This window comes from Homo sapiens, chromosome 5, assembly GCF_000001405.40.
Source record: "Homo sapiens chromosome 5, GRCh38.p14 Primary Assembly".
Taxonomy (NCBI): domain Eukaryota; kingdom Metazoa; phylum Chordata; class Mammalia; order Primates; family Hominidae; genus Homo; species Homo sapiens.
Genome location: NC_000005.10, coordinates 11,790,525 through 11,810,826, shown reverse-complemented (window position 1 = coordinate 11,810,826; position 20,302 = coordinate 11,790,525). Strand labels below are relative to the sequence as shown.

General features: G+C 37.1%; 1 protein-coding gene across 6 annotated transcripts in view, besides 1 other annotated feature; it reads left to right on the top strand.

Annotated features, from left to right (window-relative positions):
* Positions 1-20,302, top strand: part of CTNND2 (catenin delta 2) — a 932,611-nt gene that overhangs the window by 93,620 nt on the left and 818,689 nt on the right. The window lies entirely within an intron of this gene.
* Positions 13,289-13,819: an enhancer, noted in NCBI's record as "NANOG hESC enhancer chr5:11797120-11797650 (GRCh37/hg19 assembly coordinates)". NCBI's record gives its function as "activates a minimal SCP1, AML or CMV promoter by ChIP-STARR-seq in primed H9 embryonic stem cells {active_cell/tissue: H9 hESC(primed)}" and the evidence as "EXISTENCE:reporter gene assay evidence [ECO:0000049][PMID:30033119]".

Genomic DNA, 20,302 nt, shown 5'->3' with positions numbered 1-20,302 from the left:
TTACCCTAGGATTTTAAGCTCAAATTTAAAGTAGTATGACAATGCGTAATTAGCTAATTTAAGAGGCATATTGCTTCTCATTTTAATCAATAGCATACCTGTATACTCATACACCCATGTACACATGCCAGTAATTGCTTTGCTTTCCAAATTACAATCATGCCTTATAATAAGCATTAGAAACAAAGTTGTTTTTCAAGATAATGATTTTTCTGACATGCCACAATTGATATAATTGCAAATAATTTTTATAGTAAGAGGAAAACGTGATCATTTTTAATTTAGAAATTAACATTTGTTAAAAAGTAGTAATCCACATTTAAACTTTTAATGCAATGCACACTTAATTTTCACAACATTGCTTGAGGCAATGGTTCAATGTTTTCTTATAATTTATCAAATTGCTTTTCAAGATTAAGCTTAAAAAGTAATTTTCTATAGTAAATCCTTGAAAAAATTATGAATATCATCCCAAATTCTACAATTATCCTTCATGAAGCCCTTTCTTCCTTTTCAAGGTCTGTGTCACAGGCATTGTTAATTACTTTTAAAGCTTACGTCATAATCTTAGCAATTTAACTTAACGTGGTAGCTCAGATGTCAACTTTAGCAAAATTAATACCATTGAAAACTACTATAGTAGATACTAGATATGGATTTTTCCTATAAAAATATAGCATAGTATATGCTAATATTTAATATGTTAAAGAATGTCACATTCAAGTTGGCATGTATAGTCTTACATATAAGTTCTTATATTTAAGATGTCAGATTTGTCCGGGGACATGGTTTTCTCAATAATTAAAAAGTAAGGTATTGTCAGGTTCTGTATGTTTGCTTCAGGGACTGATAGTTTCTTTGATATGTTTAGCCTGGGATTTTCAAGGCCAGCATTTATAGACATGATTGTTTCTTAAGTTCTGCTCTTCCATTGAGAACTGCTGCAAGTCCTCTCTCCTGATAAAATAATTATTTACAATAGGACCGCAGTGACTTCTCAGATGCCCTGTACCCTTTCAATCATCACTGGCTGCACCATGCATTTGACAAGAGACTAGTCAGTGTTTACAGTTGTTTTTTGGTTCTCCTCTACTAAACTGTGACCCTTCGATGAGCTGTGACCAATTTCTATGTCTTGGTATAGAACAGAGCTTTACCTGTTCCCTTGTTTATGCCTGGTGATAAATCAATATTTGGCGATGATGATGAAGTCCCTTTGCTATTTGGAGACCTGTGGTCCGCCCTGACTCAGTTATTCCTCTCCCTGACAATGACATATGAATTTCCACCATGACTTACTCTTTGTTGATCATTTGTTAGATTCATGGTTTATGGCTATCCTGTGGCAGTGAGTAAATTCAGTTAGGTAATAAAATTATGAACATGTCTTGAGTTTTAAAATAATTTTCTTGGTAGATATTCTAAGTAAAGATGACTAAGTTAGAATCCCACCAATGTATTGCTACATGCATATGCTTTTAGAATTTGGAGCTTGAAAACTCTGTAAGAGTCTCCCAAAATTCATCTTTTATATCCTGTTTTATTATGTTTAGCTTTACATCACTTTGAAAGTGATACAATCAATGGAATCCTAGAATAAATGGATATCTCAACTAGAATCTGATATTCAGTTCTCCAAAGAATCTTAAAATAAGGTAGTAATAGTTAAAACCTGATTATGAAAACATCCACATTTGTCATCCTTATTACAAGGAGAAATTTGTGCTTTCACATTTTGTACATTTAGAATTTTGCGCAATGCTCAACCTGCAGCATTACCAAGGAATTATATCCCAAGAATTTTCTTCCCATTATGCCCATATTGAAGTATCTCCATGCAGCCTCAGCGATGATAATTCTCACAGCTTTCCATTCCAGCTGGAGTTGTTCCATTAGTAGTTCAGGTTAATTTTCTTAGTATCGTGGATGTTTTGTCTGCAGTTGTCAATATTTTCATTTCCACTTTCAATATCTTTTCAGATAATAAATACAATAAAACTTATTTTTAATCACTGTGTTGTTTTTACTAAGAAAATAGTAGGGTCCTGAACAAACAGGCTTAGAGAAACATTACTGTGTTAGGAAAATGTAGAAAGTTTGGTTTGCATTGCTGTCTCTAGTGAATGTGATGTGTATTTCTATCAGAGTTTCTGCCTGTGGTAGAGAGAAGAAAGAAAGCAGATGCAGGAGAATCCAAGGCAATGGGTGAGACCAACTAGAAGGGGAAAATATTAAAATAGAAACCATGTAGTTGTAACAGAAATCAACTTCTGGCAGCTATGAAAAGCACTTCAGAGCAGTTGGCATGAAACTGCTTGCAGACCAAGAGCTGCAGAAAAGCACTGAGAAGATCTGATTCTAAATTAAAGAATTCCCAGAGAAAGTTGGGGTTAGTTTAAGTAATGGTTGATCTTGTCCTGATGGCTCTGTGTTGTAATTGCCTGTTTGTTTGTCCGTTCCCCACTCTAGACTGTCAGCTCTGTGAGCATAGCAGTTTCTGTCTGTGCTCTTGAGGGAGGGGCTCTCAGCTCCTCGACCGTCATCTGCAGGTGGTGGGAGTTCATTAAATATATGGCAATAAGTGAATAAAGTATGTTTAGTTATGGTCCAATGACTGTAAGTCTTCACATTATGGTTTAAATCTGTGATGTTTAATGTGGTGTGGTACAGTTGAGGACAGGGAAGGAAGTGGCCATATGCTTTTAGAAGTTGTAGCAGAATCTCTTTGGATAGAGAAGTAGGACTTATTTTGAGGCTTCAGTGCTTATGCCATCCCATTCAAATTCTCATATGTCTTGTGGTACCCTCCATCTGATGAGAAGTTCTATTGTAGGGAGCCACTATTACTGATAGACTATATTTCCTATACTTCTTTTGTACAGAGTACAATATGAGGGTGAGAATCACTGTTATGAACAGTACATAACCTACTCAAACACAATCATTAATAATATAAGTTAATTTATAGGCTTAGCAGTTTTAATAGATGGCTGTTTTAATATATGTTCAGAAACAAACCATGTCATGCATTTCCTTTTGGTGAAGTAGGCCTGTGGGAACATGCAGACAGAACCATTATGCCTCTGTCCGTGCGTCTTAGTACGTGGCGATGGTGAACTTCTGAGAGGAAGTACACAGTGTTTTAGAGTGGGCTTTGAAAACCTAAGTCTGTAATGATCACACAGTTCACAATTCTAAGGTTGTATTAGATGTAAGTCTACATTTTTTCCAGATTGCCAATAAATTCTACCACGTTGATCATAATTCTGAACTCTGTGTTAAATACACCTGTTCCTTTGAACTCGATGACATTGGGAGTGTGGAGCACATTTGCTAATGTAATACTGTGGAACACTAAGGGCAAAAGCAGCCTTCTGAATATCACGTAAGTTAAAAACCTAATCAACACAAGGACTTAGAGTTATGATGTACGTACCAAAATCTGGGAGGCAGAAGGTAGTAGGGATGGTTTAAGCAAGCTGAATCCTTATTTATTGTAGTCTAAAGTCAAAAGATAATGTTTAATTGGACACAACAAGCATTCTTTATATAAGTCTAATATTTAGAGATATGGGAGTAACCAAGGGGAAAAACACAAATAGGAAAGTATTAAAGTTGCCAGCAGTACCAGAGGAATTAAGTGTGGAAAGAAATGAAGGAACAAGTTGTTTTTCAATATGAAATCCTCCTGAACTATTTAGCAGTTGACTATGTGCATGTATTATTTTAATAATACAGAGTTTAAGCAGGGGTGATATAAGCATTGATCTCATGTAGCAAATGGACGCAGAATGTTAAATATTTATTTTTATTATAATTGAATACACACCCATTAGCAACTTGAGAATAAAAACAAAACATAAAGAAAAAGAGAATCACCTATGATCCATCCACTCAAATGTAATTACTACTAGCAGTGCACTGTCTATCCTCAACCCTGCCCATGGTTTTGCTTAATAAAAGTGGAATTATGGGAGCAAGTACTGCTCATCTTTTTTTTAAGATCAATTATTCATGATCATCAAAATAATCATAATGATAGCTAACATTTATGTTCATTATTGTAGGCACCCTTCTCAGTGTTATATATATAAATATATATTAACTTTTTAGATTTCCCCAATGTGCACATAAGTGCTGTTACAACCCTGATGTGTTAGATGGGGCAACCAAAACCCAGAATGCTAAAGAACTTACCCAGGTTTTTACATTGCCCATATTATGTTTTAGATCTGCACATTGCTTGTAGATGGCTGGCTCAGGAAATGAACCCTGGAAATGAATGAATGGCAGTGCCAAAAGATCTTCAAACAAATTTTGATTGAATATATTCTACCTTATTAAATGTAAATTAGATACTATGACATCTCTGATCACTTTAAAGTTCTTGTAGTATTCTGTATTTAGAGTGACATGTGGGCAGTGAGCGTTAGTTACTATTGATTTTATTTGCTTTAAATTGTTAGATATATAATGCATTTTAAAATACATTTTAAGATAATTTTTTGTGCAGTTTTAGATCTACAGAAAAGTTGAGAAGATAGTACAAAGTTCTCATATATCCCATTCCCAGTTGTCCCTCATCTGAACATCTTGAACATCTTACATTACTATGTCACATGTATTGTAATTACAACATTGTATTGCTGTATTGTTATTAACTAAACTCCACACTTTATTCCAACTTTCCTAGGTTTTAGCTAATGTCTTTTTGTCTCTTCTAGGATCATGTGTCCTTAGGCTCCTCTTGACTCTGGAAGATTCTCAGACTTTCCTTGTTTTAATAACTTTGATAGTTTTGAGGAGTATTGGTCAGTCATATTATAGGATGTCCCTCTCCTGGAATCTGTCTGATAGGGTTAGTGTATACACTGTTGACATGACTGACCATTATTGACGTTGACCTTGCTCACTTAGCTGAGACAGTGTTTGTCATATTTCTCCATTGTAAAGTTGCTCTCTCCTGCTTTCTATACTCTACTAATTGGAAGGAAGTCACAATGTACAGTATCCACTTGAGTATGGAGTAATATACTCTACTTTTTAAGGCTGGTGGATCTATGTTCTATGTGAGTTACGTGGAATTCTGCATGGGAGATTTGTTGTTTCTCCCCATTTACTTATTTATTCAAACCTTTATATTAGTATAGACACATGGATATTTATTTTATACTTTATGTTATGATCCAATGCTAGCATATTTATTTTGTTGTTCCAATTATTCTAGCTTTCTTCAAAGGGGCTACTGAGTGGCTTTGACATATTCCATTCATTCATTCATTCATTCATTGTTCATTTATTTATTTGTACTTCCTTATTTTCTGGCATTATGAGGTTCTCTGAACTCATCTTACATGTCCCTGATCCAGTCTTAGGATCAGCCATTTCTTCCAGGAGCCGTGATTCCTTTTATTGAAGAATACTATTAAAAACCAAGGGTGGTAGATGTGCTTGTTGCTAGTGGAGTGTCCTTGTTTTTAGACTGTCAGTTGATATAGCAAATAAATATATGAGTGTATACTAATCTGAGTATATACATTACCTATGAATATTTCTGTATTCAACCATCTGTATCTGTACAAAGCTATATATCAGTTCACAGTGATGTGTCCAACTCTAGTCTGTTACCTCCTGGATCATTCTGTTCTCCTCCTGTTGCTTAAATGTATCTGCCTACTCCAAATATGAGAAACCTGGCTCAAACCACATGCCATCCTTTTACTTAATTGTTCAGTGACAGTAGAGAAGTATAGCAAGATCACAGTCGTTAACCCATGCTTCCATGGGAAACAACATCATTGATTAAATCACAATGATTAAAATGATTATTTTCCCTTTAGTCTTGCAATCGCCATTCATTTCCAAAGTTACTTAGAACACCATTTCTTTTCTCACCTTCTTCAGTGAGGTTGTTTTGTACAGTTAGATTGCTTTGCCACATCTGGCATTTCATCCTCAGATTCCTTGCTATCCTAAATGTTTTTTAAAATGTACATACATTAAGCTTCATTCTTTGTGTTGTAAAGTTCCATGGGTTTTGACAAATGAGTAGTGTCATGCAGAATAGTTTCACTGCCCTAAAAATTGCCCTGTGTTTCACCTCTTCAACCCTTTTCTCCTCCTTCCAAACCCCTGGTAACCACTCATCTTTTTATTTTTATTTTTTGCCATCTCTATAGTTTTCCTATTCTAGAATACCATACAATTGGAATCATTCGGTATGTACCCTTTTCAAATTGTCTTCTTTCCCTTAGTAATGAGGGTTTAAGCCATGTCTTTTCATGGCTTGATAGCTCATTTATTTTTGGGGCTGAATAATCTTCCATTATATGACTATACCAGTTTATTTATCCATTCATCTTTTGAAGGCAATCTTGTTTGCTTCCAGTTTTGGCAGTAATGAATAAAACTACTATAAACATTCACATGCAGGCTTTTGTGTCAACATATTTTCAAATAAGTTGGGTAAATACCTAGGAGTATAAAGACTGGATAGCATAGTAAGGCTATATTTAGTTGTATACTAAAGCAGCTGCCAAACAGTCTTCCAGAATGGCTATACCATTTTGCATTCCCATCAGCAGTGAATGAGAGGGCCTGTTGTGCTGTATCCTCGACAGTAACTGTTACTGTCAGGTTTTTTAGATATTAGCCATTCTAATAGTTGTATAGTGTATCTCATGATTGTTTTAATGTGTAATATACTGTTAAACAGAAACCATGACTTGTATTTAAAAGTGCATCTGCCTAGAAGTCCCTGTCAGAGTCTTGCCCCACAAAATGTGAAGACTTTATAGAAGTACAGAACTCATAGGAGTCCTCAGAACAGAGGCCAGTGGCTAAAATTTGGTAAGATTTTTAACTGACTTGGTTGGAGCAAAAATGAGTTTAAAAAAATGGAGGTTGCCAGGATTTAGTAAGATTTTTTACTGACTAGATTGGAGGAGAAAAATGAGTGGAAAAAAAAAAGAAAAATTTCAAATATTGCAATATTGCAGACCAGATATCTGGGAGGATGGGCACTGGTGATACAACAGTGAATTATAAGACGAGTGATATAAAATTCAATGGGTCGTAGGATCTCCCTTTGAAACAGTGAGAAAAACAGTTTGTGGAATAGGAAGTGAACTCGTCTCACAGTGGAGAAGCACTAGACAATGACAGCCTGCAAAACCTTAGAACGTGAGCTGTGTGAGTCACATGTGACAGGCAGAGGGTTCACTTCCTTAATATTTCGGTAGCCTTAACATTCAGTGACTCTTTTTCTCATCTTCAGTTCAGTGGATCCAGAAATCCTATAGCGTCTACCTCCGAAATATCATTCAGTGCCCTATTTTATGTCATCCTATCATAAGTAGCTGCTAGCAGTAGCCTGCTCTGCACAAGTTTATACAGTTCAGATTCCTTTTCCCCTTTGGAGCAAAGATGATTTTTCAAAAGCAAAAAGTTAAATTTCTCAGTGACCCCTCTTGTGCACTCTTGTGCATATTTTTTTTTCTTTTTTTTTTGAGACGCAGTCTCGCTCTGTTGCCAGGCTGGAGTGCAGTGGTGCAATCTCAGCTCACTGCAACCTCCGACTCCCTGGTTAAAGCGATTCTCCTGCCTCAGCCTCCTGAGTAGCTGGGATTACAGGCACGCGCCACCATGCCCAGCTAATTTTTGTATTTTTAGTAGAGACGGGGTTTCACCATGTTAGCCAGGATGGTCTTGATCTCCTGACCTCGTGATCCACCCGCCTCGGCCTCCCAAAGTGCTGGCATTACAGGCGTCAGTCACCACGCCAGTCCTGGAACTTCTTAATATGGTTTAAAGGTCTCGCATGAACTTACCTTTGGTTAACAAACTTTTGAGAATATTCCCCTCTCTTCTTTTCACAATCTGGGTGTCTTGAAATATGTCAGAGTCACTGATATTTGGTGTTTATGACATCTGGGCTGCTATAAGTTTTTAAGAACAAAGATTATATTTCCTAGGCACATGCTCATAGAAGGGACTCAAAAGTTATTAGTTGAATGAATATGTATTTGATAAAATAATGTTCATTACATTGCTATTTATCATAAAAAGAAGAAATAGATAATCATGGGAAATTGTTCAGTAAATTAGTAAACAGCCATACAGTGGGCTACTATATAGCAATTAATTTCATGGTTTTATTATATATGACCTGGTAAAGTGTATACACTGTAACAAGGTAACAAGTCATAATTAACTGAAATACTTACATAGTATGATTAGAAGATTCGTTTTTTTTTTTTTGAGATGGAGTTTCGCTCTTGTTGCCCAGACTGGAGTGCAATGGCACGATCTCAGCTCACTGCAGCCTCTGCCTTCTAGGTTCAAGCAATTCTCCTGCCTCAACCTCCTGAGTAGCTGGGATTACAGGCATGCGCCACCACGCCCAGCTAATTTTGCACTTTTAGTAGGGACGGGGTTTCTCCCTGTTGGTCAGGCTGGTTTCAAACTCCTGACCTCAGGTGATCCTCCTGCCTTAGTCTCCCAAAGTGCTGGGATTACAGGCATGAGCCACTGCACTTGGACTTTTTTTTTTTTTTAAGACAGAGTCTTGCTCTATCGCCTAGGCTGGAGTGCAGTGGTGCGATCTCAGCTCACTGCAATCTCTGCCTCTCGAGTTCAAGCGATTCTCCTGCCTCAGCCCCCTGAGTAGCTGGGATTACAGGCATGGCCACCACACATGGCTAATTTTTGTGTTTTTAGTAGAGATGGGGTTTCACCATTTTGGCCAGGCTAGTCTCAAACTCCTGACTTCAAGTGATCCTTCTGCCTTGGCCTCCTAAAGTGCTGGGATTACAAGCATGAGCTACCATGCCTGGTAGAAGATTTTTAATAGATACACACTCGAGCCTGCAGAAAAGTTTGGGAAAAATGTATCGCATTTTCTGGGTGGTAGTTTCATTTTTTATATGTTTGGAAGGTGTTATTCCAAATATTATAGGATCAAGAATGCAATTGCTTATTTTGTTAAACAAATCACTGTAAAATACACATTTGCTATTTAGATCACTATATGCAACTCAGAATTACTGATTATTGTCCAGTTATTGGATGCTATAGAATTACTCTTTACTAAAGTAAAAAGATGCTGGTTTTATATTTATGCTCATAGAGTAAAATTTCCAGTTCCAAATAATACAGTATAACTAAGGGCATATAAGCATATACAAAAGAAAAAAAAATTGGTTGCTGCCTATGGAGTTTTCCCAATTACATACCTGGAGGGTGCCAGCTATCTCATTTCAATGCTCTTAGTTACAATGTCCTGCCAGAAACATTGCAAAAATGGAAACTATAATAGTTGGATTATCATAGGTAAGAAGAAACCAGTGTTGCCTTTACACATCTCTGTGCCTATTCAAATTAGTTCATTTGCAATTGAGGAAAAGCCCAGGTTTTGTTGTTAAACACAGAGCCAAAAACAGATGTGAGAGTTAAAAGAGGTTCAGAAGCAACTGTATCATCAGTCGGATGCTCTGCCCTTAGTAAATGTAGCTATCACTGTTACTCACCCTAGGTGAGTAAGAGTTTGCTCATTATTACATTTGTTCTGTGTTGGCTCAGAAAATAAAACCACTGTGCAAACTTACAAAAAACCTCCATGCTTAACTGGTACCCATCAGCTAACAAGACATTTTGCCAGTGTGCTATTTAACTCACAGAACAACAACGACAAAAGAGTGTATTCACTTTGGAAGATAAAATTGTAAAAGATAATTATGGAAGAACAGCCCTGAAAGTGTTTAAACCTTATATTATTCCCGTAGGAAATTAGCTTCTTAAATACCTTCTTTCTTTTAGCCTTGATAGATGCAAAGAACACCCTCTTGAAAAACAGTCGTGAAACTCTGTATGTACCTTCTCATTAGAAAATTAGCATGTTACTGCTACTTAACAACAGTATTTTCTGAAAGTAATGAAAGCAAGAGAAGGGAATTCTAAAATGTATTTTGTGATTTATAAATAAGACTTATAAAGTATCTATTACTTTATCTTTGGATTTCAAATATAATACTCAATTCTAAGTGAGAAGGATTAGGTTTTCCAATAGCTGAGAATATGATGAGACAATGCTGTTATTCTACTAAAAGAAACTGTTCTGCCTAATTATCTCAATTGACTTTATGTTTATCAATCATTAGTTTATATGCTGTGGAAGAGTCAAATGAAAAATTTTTTTAGAAGTTTCTCTAATGGACGGAAGGGTATGCCTTTTCCTTCATCACTTGGTGCTCAGTAGAGTGTCTGGCACACAGTAGTATCACAGTAAAGGTCTGACCTATGGTGAATAAATTAAGGGATGTATGCTAGTCAGTTTCTGTTTATTAATTCTGCTAATTAGATCATCACGCTCAATAACATCTTTAAATGTACTATGTAATTTCATGACCACAATCCTGAGTAGATCCTATCTATATTGAATTTTGAAAGGTGTGTTTCCAGGTATTCTATGTCTTCAAGCTTTTCTTTAGTGTTAGAAACTCAGATATCTTTAAACCATATCGTATTGAATCATCTTTGCTTTCAGTTCTTCTCAGAAGTTCCCTATTTACTGATAGGTGACTATAGAGGGAAAACCAAAATTGATACTCTATAGTGGGAGTAATTCTTTGAAGGTTTAAATTCCATTCAACAAATATTTTCTCAACACTTATTATGTTTCAGACTTTTTAATATATACTTAATTTCATTTCATTGTATCATTAACACATGAAGTTGACAGTCATTGCTTAAATTTTAGAAAAAGTACAGTGAGGCTAAGAGAAATGAATTCAGTTCCTTAGTTAAAGTAGTAAGTGGCTAAATGGGCAGCTAGTCCAAAATTCTGGAATGTCAAACTTTACCACCCTAGTCAATTCCTTCTTAAAATAATTGAAGAGGGAGTTTGGAGTAGTAGAAAATGCATGGAGTGTTTTGATATGAGTCTGAATCTAGCATTCCTCTTTGTGTGTTGTGTGACTTTGACTAAACTACATAAACTTTTCATGCCTCATTTTTATCTGTAGACAGTAGCTTGCCTGACACAACTTAAGTGCAACATTAATAGTATCTATCACTGTCTGTGCAGTTAGAATGCTGTTTCATTATGTTTCAAAATATTGCTAGCATGGATAAAATATTAAACTTCTCCCTCTTTATCCAAGTAGCGATATGGACAGAGCAAGGGGGGGATATTTCATAATATGGTAGTAATAACAGCTAATGTCTTTTCCTATTAAATTCCACAAAAAAGTCTGTATATTGTGTCAGTGAACAAAAATGCATTGAAAATGATGTAACAGATAAAAACAGGGAGTAGAAGTTGATAAAAAGCCATTGGAGAAGGTAAAATGTTTGAAAACTATACACATCTCAACGGGAGGAAGAAGAAAGAGACATTGAACTGTAAGCCATGAAATTCTGTCTCAAAACAAAGACTTGGAAATTGCCAAGGAACCCATATCTTTATTCAGAGATAAAAAGGAAGAAAGCAGGTGGTAAATTAAAACAATACAGGATTAAAAACATCACCAGTGACATAAAACTACCCTAGAATTTAAGATAGAATCACAGAATGGGAAACTACACCAGTGAAGTAGAAAATGGTCATGAAGCACCTGGAGAGTGTGTAGAAAGGTTTTAAAACGATGAACAAATATGTGATGGATGATTTAAGACCTAAATATAAATGCTAGTATACTAAAGATTTTTACAAATCTTTAGTATGAATTGAGGTTTATAGAGGTTAACTTACTCAAGGATCACTCAGCAAGGAAAAAAGAATATTGACAAACCAGGATTCAGCCTCAAGTATTTCAGAATCCTGAGATAGCACTCTTGTACATGAATGAAACTGCCTGTTACCTCCCTTAATTTCTGCACATTAAAATAGTGATTATTTATATGATAAAGAGCACAAACATTTTAAAGTCATGATTTATACTGTGTTTTGTATGGCCCATAAAGTGTATACAGTACGTTTTAACACAAAACGTTACTTTTTTTTCCTGAAATACTTGTTATATGGAGATAAATGCAACCATATAAATCCTCCTTTTTTTGTTTGGAGACGGAGTCTCACTCTGTCCCCAGGCTAGAGTGCAGTGGCGCGATCTCAGTTCACTGCAACCTCTGACTCCCTGGTTCAAGTGATTCTCCTGCCTCAGCGTCCCGAGTAGCTGCCATTACAGGCACGCACCACCAGGCCCAGATAATATTTGTATTTTTAGTAAAGACAGGGTTTCACCATGTTGATCAGGATGGTCTCAATCTCCTGACCTCATGATCTGTCCGCCTTGGCCTCCCAGAGTTCTGGGATTACAGGCGTGAGCCACTGCACCTGGCCAAATCCTCTGTTTTTGTAGAAAATGACATTAAAACATGTGGACTCTCACTTCATACACACACATGCACACTGGCATAATCAGTGGTTACCAGAAGAGTAGAAAGAGTCTAACATACATGAAAATAGTTCCCCACTAAAAGAAAATAGCATTTACAATATTTAAAATTTAAAGAAGTAAATTGATATCTTGGTTTGAAGACACACAAACCTTTTTTTTTTTTTTTTTTGAAACAGTCTCACTCTGTCACCCAGGCTGGAGTGCAGTGGCACCATCTCAGCTCACTGCAACCTCCGCCTCCCGGGTTCCAGCGATTCTCCTTTCTTGGCCTCCTGAGTAACCCGGACTACAGGCATGTACCACCACGACTGGCTATTTTTTTTTTGTATTTTTAGTAGAGACGGGGTTTCATCATGTTGGCCAGGCTGGTCTCGAACTCCTCACCTCAGGTGATCTGCCCACCTTGGCCTCCCAAAATGCTAGGATTACAGGCGTGAGCCACCAAGCTCAGCCAAAACACAAACTATTAAGACACTTTCTCTGTTAACTTTTGCTCTGTGGTACTTTTAAACTAAAGTCATTTAAAACAGTTATAAACATACAAAACATGCTTTGTTGCATGCATTGTTACAGAGGGGCAAAGGAAACTTATGGCACTGTCTTTTTATAAGTAAAGTCAAGCAACTATACTACAAATTTAGACTATTCATATACATAGATACAAGAAGATAAATAAAATGCAAATCCAGAAATGATGTTATCTTAAATTTCTAGGATACTAGCAAACATTTGTTGAGAAGTTTGAAAATTGTTTATTATTTTCATAATTTTACTTCTATAAAATTTCCACATTCAGAGATATAACTACATCATTTATATTTAAATTATTCAAGTACATAATGAGGACGATGGGAGCTTAGAGGTGAATATTTGAGAATAGCATTTAATACTAAACATTTTAGTTTGGAGTTGTAAGCTTACACTTGGTTACTCTATAAAATATTTATGCATTTTTGTCTTTGATCACAATTTGATCCTGTGGTAATGATACCACTGAACCCTGAAACTTGGAATACATCCAAAATGAGGGAAAATTAATTCCACTTATCCTTGCCCCATTTTGGAAGTCCTGGCTGGGGGCCAGGAATATTCTCCACCCTGTGGTGAGACGCAGGCAAGTGCCAGGCTGTGACAATGACGGGAATGCAGCATCCCCACTGCCCTGTGTGCATATCAGAGTTACTCACACCGAAATGATCGGTGATCACTCATTCAATTGTGGTGAATGGAGGAGACTTTTAAAGTCTTTTCCTAGTTGTTTTATTAGGAGATCTCATTTAGGAAAAATATTTGTAAAGCCAATCTCAATGTCAAAGAAACCTTTTTCCTCAGTTAATTTTGCCATTTTCGGGATCTGTAATGGCTCTTTTCCCTGATACTTGCCTTTTTACTGCTAGTAGATACATATAAACACAATGAGATAAATGTAAACACAATCCAGTGTTTATGGACAATAGTTCTGTAAAATTCCTCACTCCTGTGCTCCATCAAAGACAATAATAGTTACATACTATTCCTTGATAATTTGCTTTTTAAGTTTTATCACCAGAAGTAGTACTTCTCTTGAGCTTTTCACAATTTCTGTAACTATTAATTTTTAGCAGCAATATATTTTCCTACTGTTTTGTTATAAAAATGTAGGAAATGGATGGTGTAAATTGAGGTTTAGTTTTTATATAGATTTTTGTAATACTTAACCATCTGAAAAATTAAGACATCCTATAAACAGCCCTAAGTCATATGATTTTAAGTATATTATTTCATTTTCAAAAAACAGATTGGGCTCATTACCTTAAAAATGGGCAAATGCTTATGTTTGAAAATGTTATATGCCCTTGAAGGAAAGCTATAAGAAGTAAATTAAGCAGCACAAAGGATGAGATAAGGTTTTAGCAATGTTATAGGTACAAAGGGACAAAATACCCTTTATTTGGAAATCATTCTTGATAGGATTATGCTAAAATATTACTGCAAATGAAAGCCTCTCAGATAAGGCTCTATGGGAAGAATGTGGCCCATAATATGCTTTGTTCAGAAGAGAATAGTGCAAAAGTAGTTTCTAGGGAAGTAATTGGGCTGGATGTGGACTAGCATGTGTAGGCAGAAATGCTGCATCAGTGTAGTTCGTGGAAGAATAGCCCTGAAAGATGACCTTGTCCTAATCCCTGGAACCTGTGAACATGTGACATTGCACGGTGAGGGGGGTTAGCATGGCAGATGCAGTTGAGGTTGCTACTCAGCTAATGTGGGAGGTGCAGAGGAACTAGTTCATCCTCTCGGGCCACATAGAATCACGTGAGTTCCTAAATGCTGAGAACCTTCCCTGGGTGTGTCTGTACAGATGGGTGATGATGGAGGAGGGTCAGGAGAGGACTCAACCTGCCATTGCTGGCTTTGAAGATAGAGGTAGGAGGCCAGGAGCCAAGGAATACAGGTGGCCTCTAGAAGCTGGAAAAGACAAGGAAACAGATTCTCTGCCAGATCATCCAGGAAAGAATACAGACCTGCTAATGGCTTGATATGGCCTGCTGAGGCCTGTGTGGACATTCTGACCTAAAGAACTGTAATGTACTAACTTTGTGTTGTTTTAAGTTACTAAGTCTGTGGTAACCTTTTCTCCACCAACAATAGAAACCTTACTGAGTAAGACAGAAGAGTCACATCTCCATATTGAATGGCTATTTCTCATACATGAATAACATTTTGGATTTTAAGATACCATATTCTCCTTCCCAAGAAATCTTTGTCTTCTTCCTCAGCTATCATGGGCCATCAGCCACTGTGTCTGGGCTGGTCCACATTCTAAACCTGTCTCAGAGCAGTTCAGTTCTTTCATTTCCCCTTCTATCCCTCCCACGCTACATTTAACCAAGATGATGGAATCTGACTCCTCACTGGTCTCCCTTAGCCAGTTACTCCCCTATCTTCTCCCACCCACTAAATCTGGAGTCACAGACTGGGATCCTAAAATGAACTTCATGATGGCAGTCCCCTAAAGTGAAAACTCTTCAGTGGTTTCTCATTACCTGTAGGATAAACGGAATCTCCTTAAACCATGTTAAATCTCACTTCCAGATTTTTATTCCTTCCCTGCGGTTTGTATCCTCACCTGCTAGTTTGCTCACTCCTCTTTTTATGTCATGGCTCAGCTGAAGGGTCGCTTCCTCCAGAGACCTTCCTTGGCCTTCTAAATAAAGACATTCTTGGCATTTATGATAGCTACTGCCGCACCCTGTGGGCAGTAAGGCTTACTTGCCCTCCATTGGAGTCAGGGCACGTAGTACACTGTCTAACACAGGAGGAACACTCACTCTTTGTTTCTAAATTAAATGAGTTAAATAAATAAATGAATATTTATGGTCCCTGAAGAACGTTTTAATTTATTGTTTGTTATCCAATTGCATAAGGTTGTGAAAAGGGAGAAGTAAAAAATACATGGGAAAATATGGTAAATACAAATATAGTAGTGTTTGGGAAAATAATAATTGTACATTTATTTTGTATGGGGCTAATACCATGAGTTTTTTGTGTTGAGCCTACGAATCATAAATAGGAATGTTTAAACCATTCCAGATGCAAAAGAGCATCCAAGTAGGCATTCCTTACCCAGAAAGACTTGGAGTCTTGCAAATGGAGAAAACCCATCTGCTTGGATCCTAAGCATTTATTTTATATCCTGTCGATCACTCATACGTGGGAGAAAAGATGGTATAAATTCTAATTTTGTAAATGACTGATGTTTATAGTTCTTGCTCCCTACTGGCTTGCAACTAATCATCTTACAGTCCTGTTGAAAACTCAGCATTCCTTGTGGACAAAGATGTATAAGTTATGCTTTCATATTGTAAATTAATTCTAAGTACTTAAAAATACCCAAAACAAAGAAGAGTCTACAGATGACAAAGCAAATCAAAGAGAAAAACACAAATTGACACAGCAAGATTCCAGTCCTCTGGTGCGCTCTCATTGATCTAAGGCCGCTCTGATCTCTTACAGCATGTAGCATCTGCGCACACAATTTATCACCTAATTATATAACGCCTTTTATCAGTAGCTATTGTGTTTCACGTTGATACACCATTTTTTCTAAGTTTAGATCAGTGTTTAAATTTTCAGCAGACTGATGGAAATAATATAATTACCATGGATGTATTAAAATACGGGGACAGTAGATGGTGCTTAGTAACTTTGAGGATGCCAGTTGGTGCCATTTACTCATCCCTCTTCCAGAAATAAAATTCCTTAGGGAAGAGAATTAATGTTGGAAGCTTGTCTGTGAATGAAGAATACTATGATAGTTTCAGGAGTTGGCCTAATGCCAGGGGCAGCCCCTCCCAAGGTGTGATATGGTACACTGACATGCAGTGGGCGAGCAGTGTCCCTGTAATTGGTCACCAAGGGTGGAGAAAACAACAAAACACGCTTTACACCATACAGTGTTTCTTTTCAGTAAATTCAAAATAAGTATATGCCATAAATATGGGAGTCAACCTAGAGATAATACTATGTCTATGAAAACTGTCACATGAGGAATAACATCTAGGAATAAATAACCCCAGTGTTAGAAGAAAAACATTTGTAAGTAATTTCATAGGTATCAAAAGCCAATGTGATTGGTTGATAGACTGATCACTCTATGAGTTTTCTAGGGCTGCTGTATCAAATTGCCACAATCTGAGTGACTTAGAACAACAGAAATTTACCTTCAGTTCTGGAGGTCAGAAGTCTGAAATCAAGGTGTCAGCTGTGCCATGCTCTCTCAGCAGGTGCTAGGGAAGGGTCTATTCCAGGCCTCTCTCCAGCTTCTGGTAGTTCCTTGGCTGGTGGCAGCATCACTCCAGTGTTCCCATGGCGTTCTGCCTGTGCACATGTCTGTGTCCATATTTCCCTTTTTCATGAGGACATCTGTCATATTGGTTTAGGAGCTCACCCTACTCCAGTATGACCACATCTTAACTAATTACATTTGCAACAATCCTATTTCCAAATAGGGTCACATTCTGAGGTATTGGGGGTTAGGACTTCAACATATGAATCTTGGGAGGGACACAGTTTATCCTGTAACCAATAATACTGTGTGTGACATTATGAAAGGCATCAAGGATGAATCCAGGTTTTTTGGACTGAATTACTAGAGGAACAGAATTGCCATTTCCTGAGAAATGGAAAATGGAGAGGAGCAAGTAGGCAGAGCAGATCAGACGTGGGGCCTCGGAAAGATCCACCTGTTGGGCCTATGTGAAGAGTGGACATTTATAGTAAGGGTCGGGAGCCCCATAAACCAATAGCACAGCAAACTGTAAAATATTTGTCAAATTCTTTATCTGTGGAAATCGACATCAGTTACCTTAGTGTCCATTGTATGGAAAAAATTATGAAAATTGATTGCATTAGAATTTTTAGCCATCTAAAGCATTTCTAATTTTACTTAAAATGCATCGCTGGGAAATCATGATATGTATTAGAGAGTTCTGTAAATGTGGACGTTTTTTCCCCCTAAATAAATGTGGCTTCTGCCATTTATCCCTGAGTTAGTTTATCATTTTAAGCCTTTGTTGGCAAGAGTTTTTTGGCTGTGAATGGAATCTGGCAAGGAAGCCTTCCGTAGGGAAAGAGGAAATGGAAGCAGAATAGAAGCATTGTGTGCTGCTAGAATATTTTTCTTTTAAGAGGACATTGCTGTTTTATTGGTGGAAGTAACCATGGAATTTGATAATTAAAAGAAAGAATCAGTAAAATTCTAGGTGACAAGAAGTGTAATTTTATAAAAAGCCATGTCAGGCATGAATAATATCTTGAACACTCAATTCATCGGCCTTGATGTGCTTCCTCTTAGACCCCTGCTGTACTTGTATTTAAATATTTGAAAGCGTTCATGCTTGCACAAAAATATGTGGGGAAGGAGCATCTCAGGACTTTTTCTCTTTCTTATATTTGCAGACCATGTTAATAAAATATTCATGCATTCATTGATTTAACCAATACTTTTGAATTACTTAAAAATGGAAAGCGAAACATAAGCCTCAGAACTAGTTTTGCTAGTTACAAATTTATGCTAACAATCATTAATGATGGATTTTTGTGGCATGTACACATTTAGACAGTTTTTAAAATATATATGTGTGTGTGTGTATTTTAAAGAAAATTGTGTCTCGGTATCTAAATCAGTCAGCATTGCCTAACAGTTTTTGAGGGTAGAACATTGCAATAATTATTATCAGTTCTTCCTAACTATGTAATTAGAGCATTGGGTTTGGCAGGCATTCTCTCATTTAAACTGATTATCATTGGAGAATAAAAACTTTGAGACCGCATGGTCTAGAGAAGAGAAAAGAGAATTGATGGTGAGAAATTCTGGTTTCATTCCCAGAGTTAGAATAGCTTCATCATATGACTTGGACAGCAAGTCAATTAATTCTATTTGTAGAATGTTAAATGCAGTCACCCACTTTCTTGGCATGGCATCCTCATCTTTGATCCTGTTTGACCAGTGTGAAACCAGCATGACTGCATTTTGTTTGCCTAGAGTATCTGATCAGTTAGAATAACAATTGACTTTGCTTCTCTCAGCACTCAGAAAATAGGGAGGGATGGGGAGGGTGAAATTCTGAAGACTGAGATTGATACTACCTAGGAAAGATTATGGATCCCAAAGTTTAGCAGTAATGAATTAATAGGATAAATGTTAATTCTGAGGCAAGAAAGAGCCTCAATGTCCCAGATTCGTTTTCGTGAACCACTTTCATAGCAAAATTACATTGGAGATTAAGCTAGTGTTTCTTTGTTCCATGAAATTGTGTTTCTATGGCAACGTTTGCCAAATACATTATCAAATATACTTAACAGTTACAGTCACACCCATTACCTAGTGGATTGATGAGCATCTGATGCACTTTTAATAAATCTTCAACATAAGTAGCCATCGTGGCATTTATGCCATTTATTCTCTGACCCTTTCGGCCATTTCCTTCCATTTGTTCTAGCTGGTGTGCACTTGAGAACATGTTCTTGCTTTCATACTAGCTCAGATAACATTTGGCTTAATATCAGCATTTTCTTGTTGCACGGTCTTCCTCTTGGTTTGCTTGACAACCTGAACCTCTAAGTTATTTCATGGCTCTGATCCATGAGATACCCCCTGCCCATACCCCGCAGGCTGCTGTAACAAAGTATGACCAACTATGTGGTTTAAAATAACTGAAATGTATTATCTTACCCTTCTGCAGGTTAGAAATCTGAAATCAGAGTGTTGGCACAGCCATGTTCCCTCTGACATCTCTGGAGGAGGATTCATGCCTCTTCCAGCTCCTGGTAACCCCAGGCATTCCTTGCTTGTAGATATGTTGCTCCACTGTCCGCCTCTGTCTTCCCATGGTGTTCTCCCAGGGTGCCAGTGTCTTCACATCATCATCTCTCTTTTTTTAAGGACTCCAGTCCTGTTGGATTGGGCCCATCCCATCCCAGTGTAACCTCATTTGAACCAGTTATGTCTGCAAAAATCCCATGTCTGAATAAGATCATGTTCACTGATACTGGAGAATTAAGCCCTCAACGTATCTATCTGGGGAATACCATTCATTCTGTGACAATTGCTATGTGGGCTCCTGACCCTACCACATGGTGTTCATTCCCTCCACTGTCAGATTGTCCCAGGGTCTGTATCTAACTTTTGATTTTGTAAATAAATGCCAATTTGTTTTCAAAGGACTACCCGTAAACATTTCTTTTATGAGTGATATTTGTAGATTTACTGTGTAAACTCTATGCATCACTCAACATGCAGAGACCAAGGCTGACATATTCAAAGAAGCAAATGTTCACATTCACATTCATCAAGAAAAATCAGCACATCATTACGTGTAGAAAATCTTGTGTGCCCTAGGTACACTGTGAGCATTACCTTA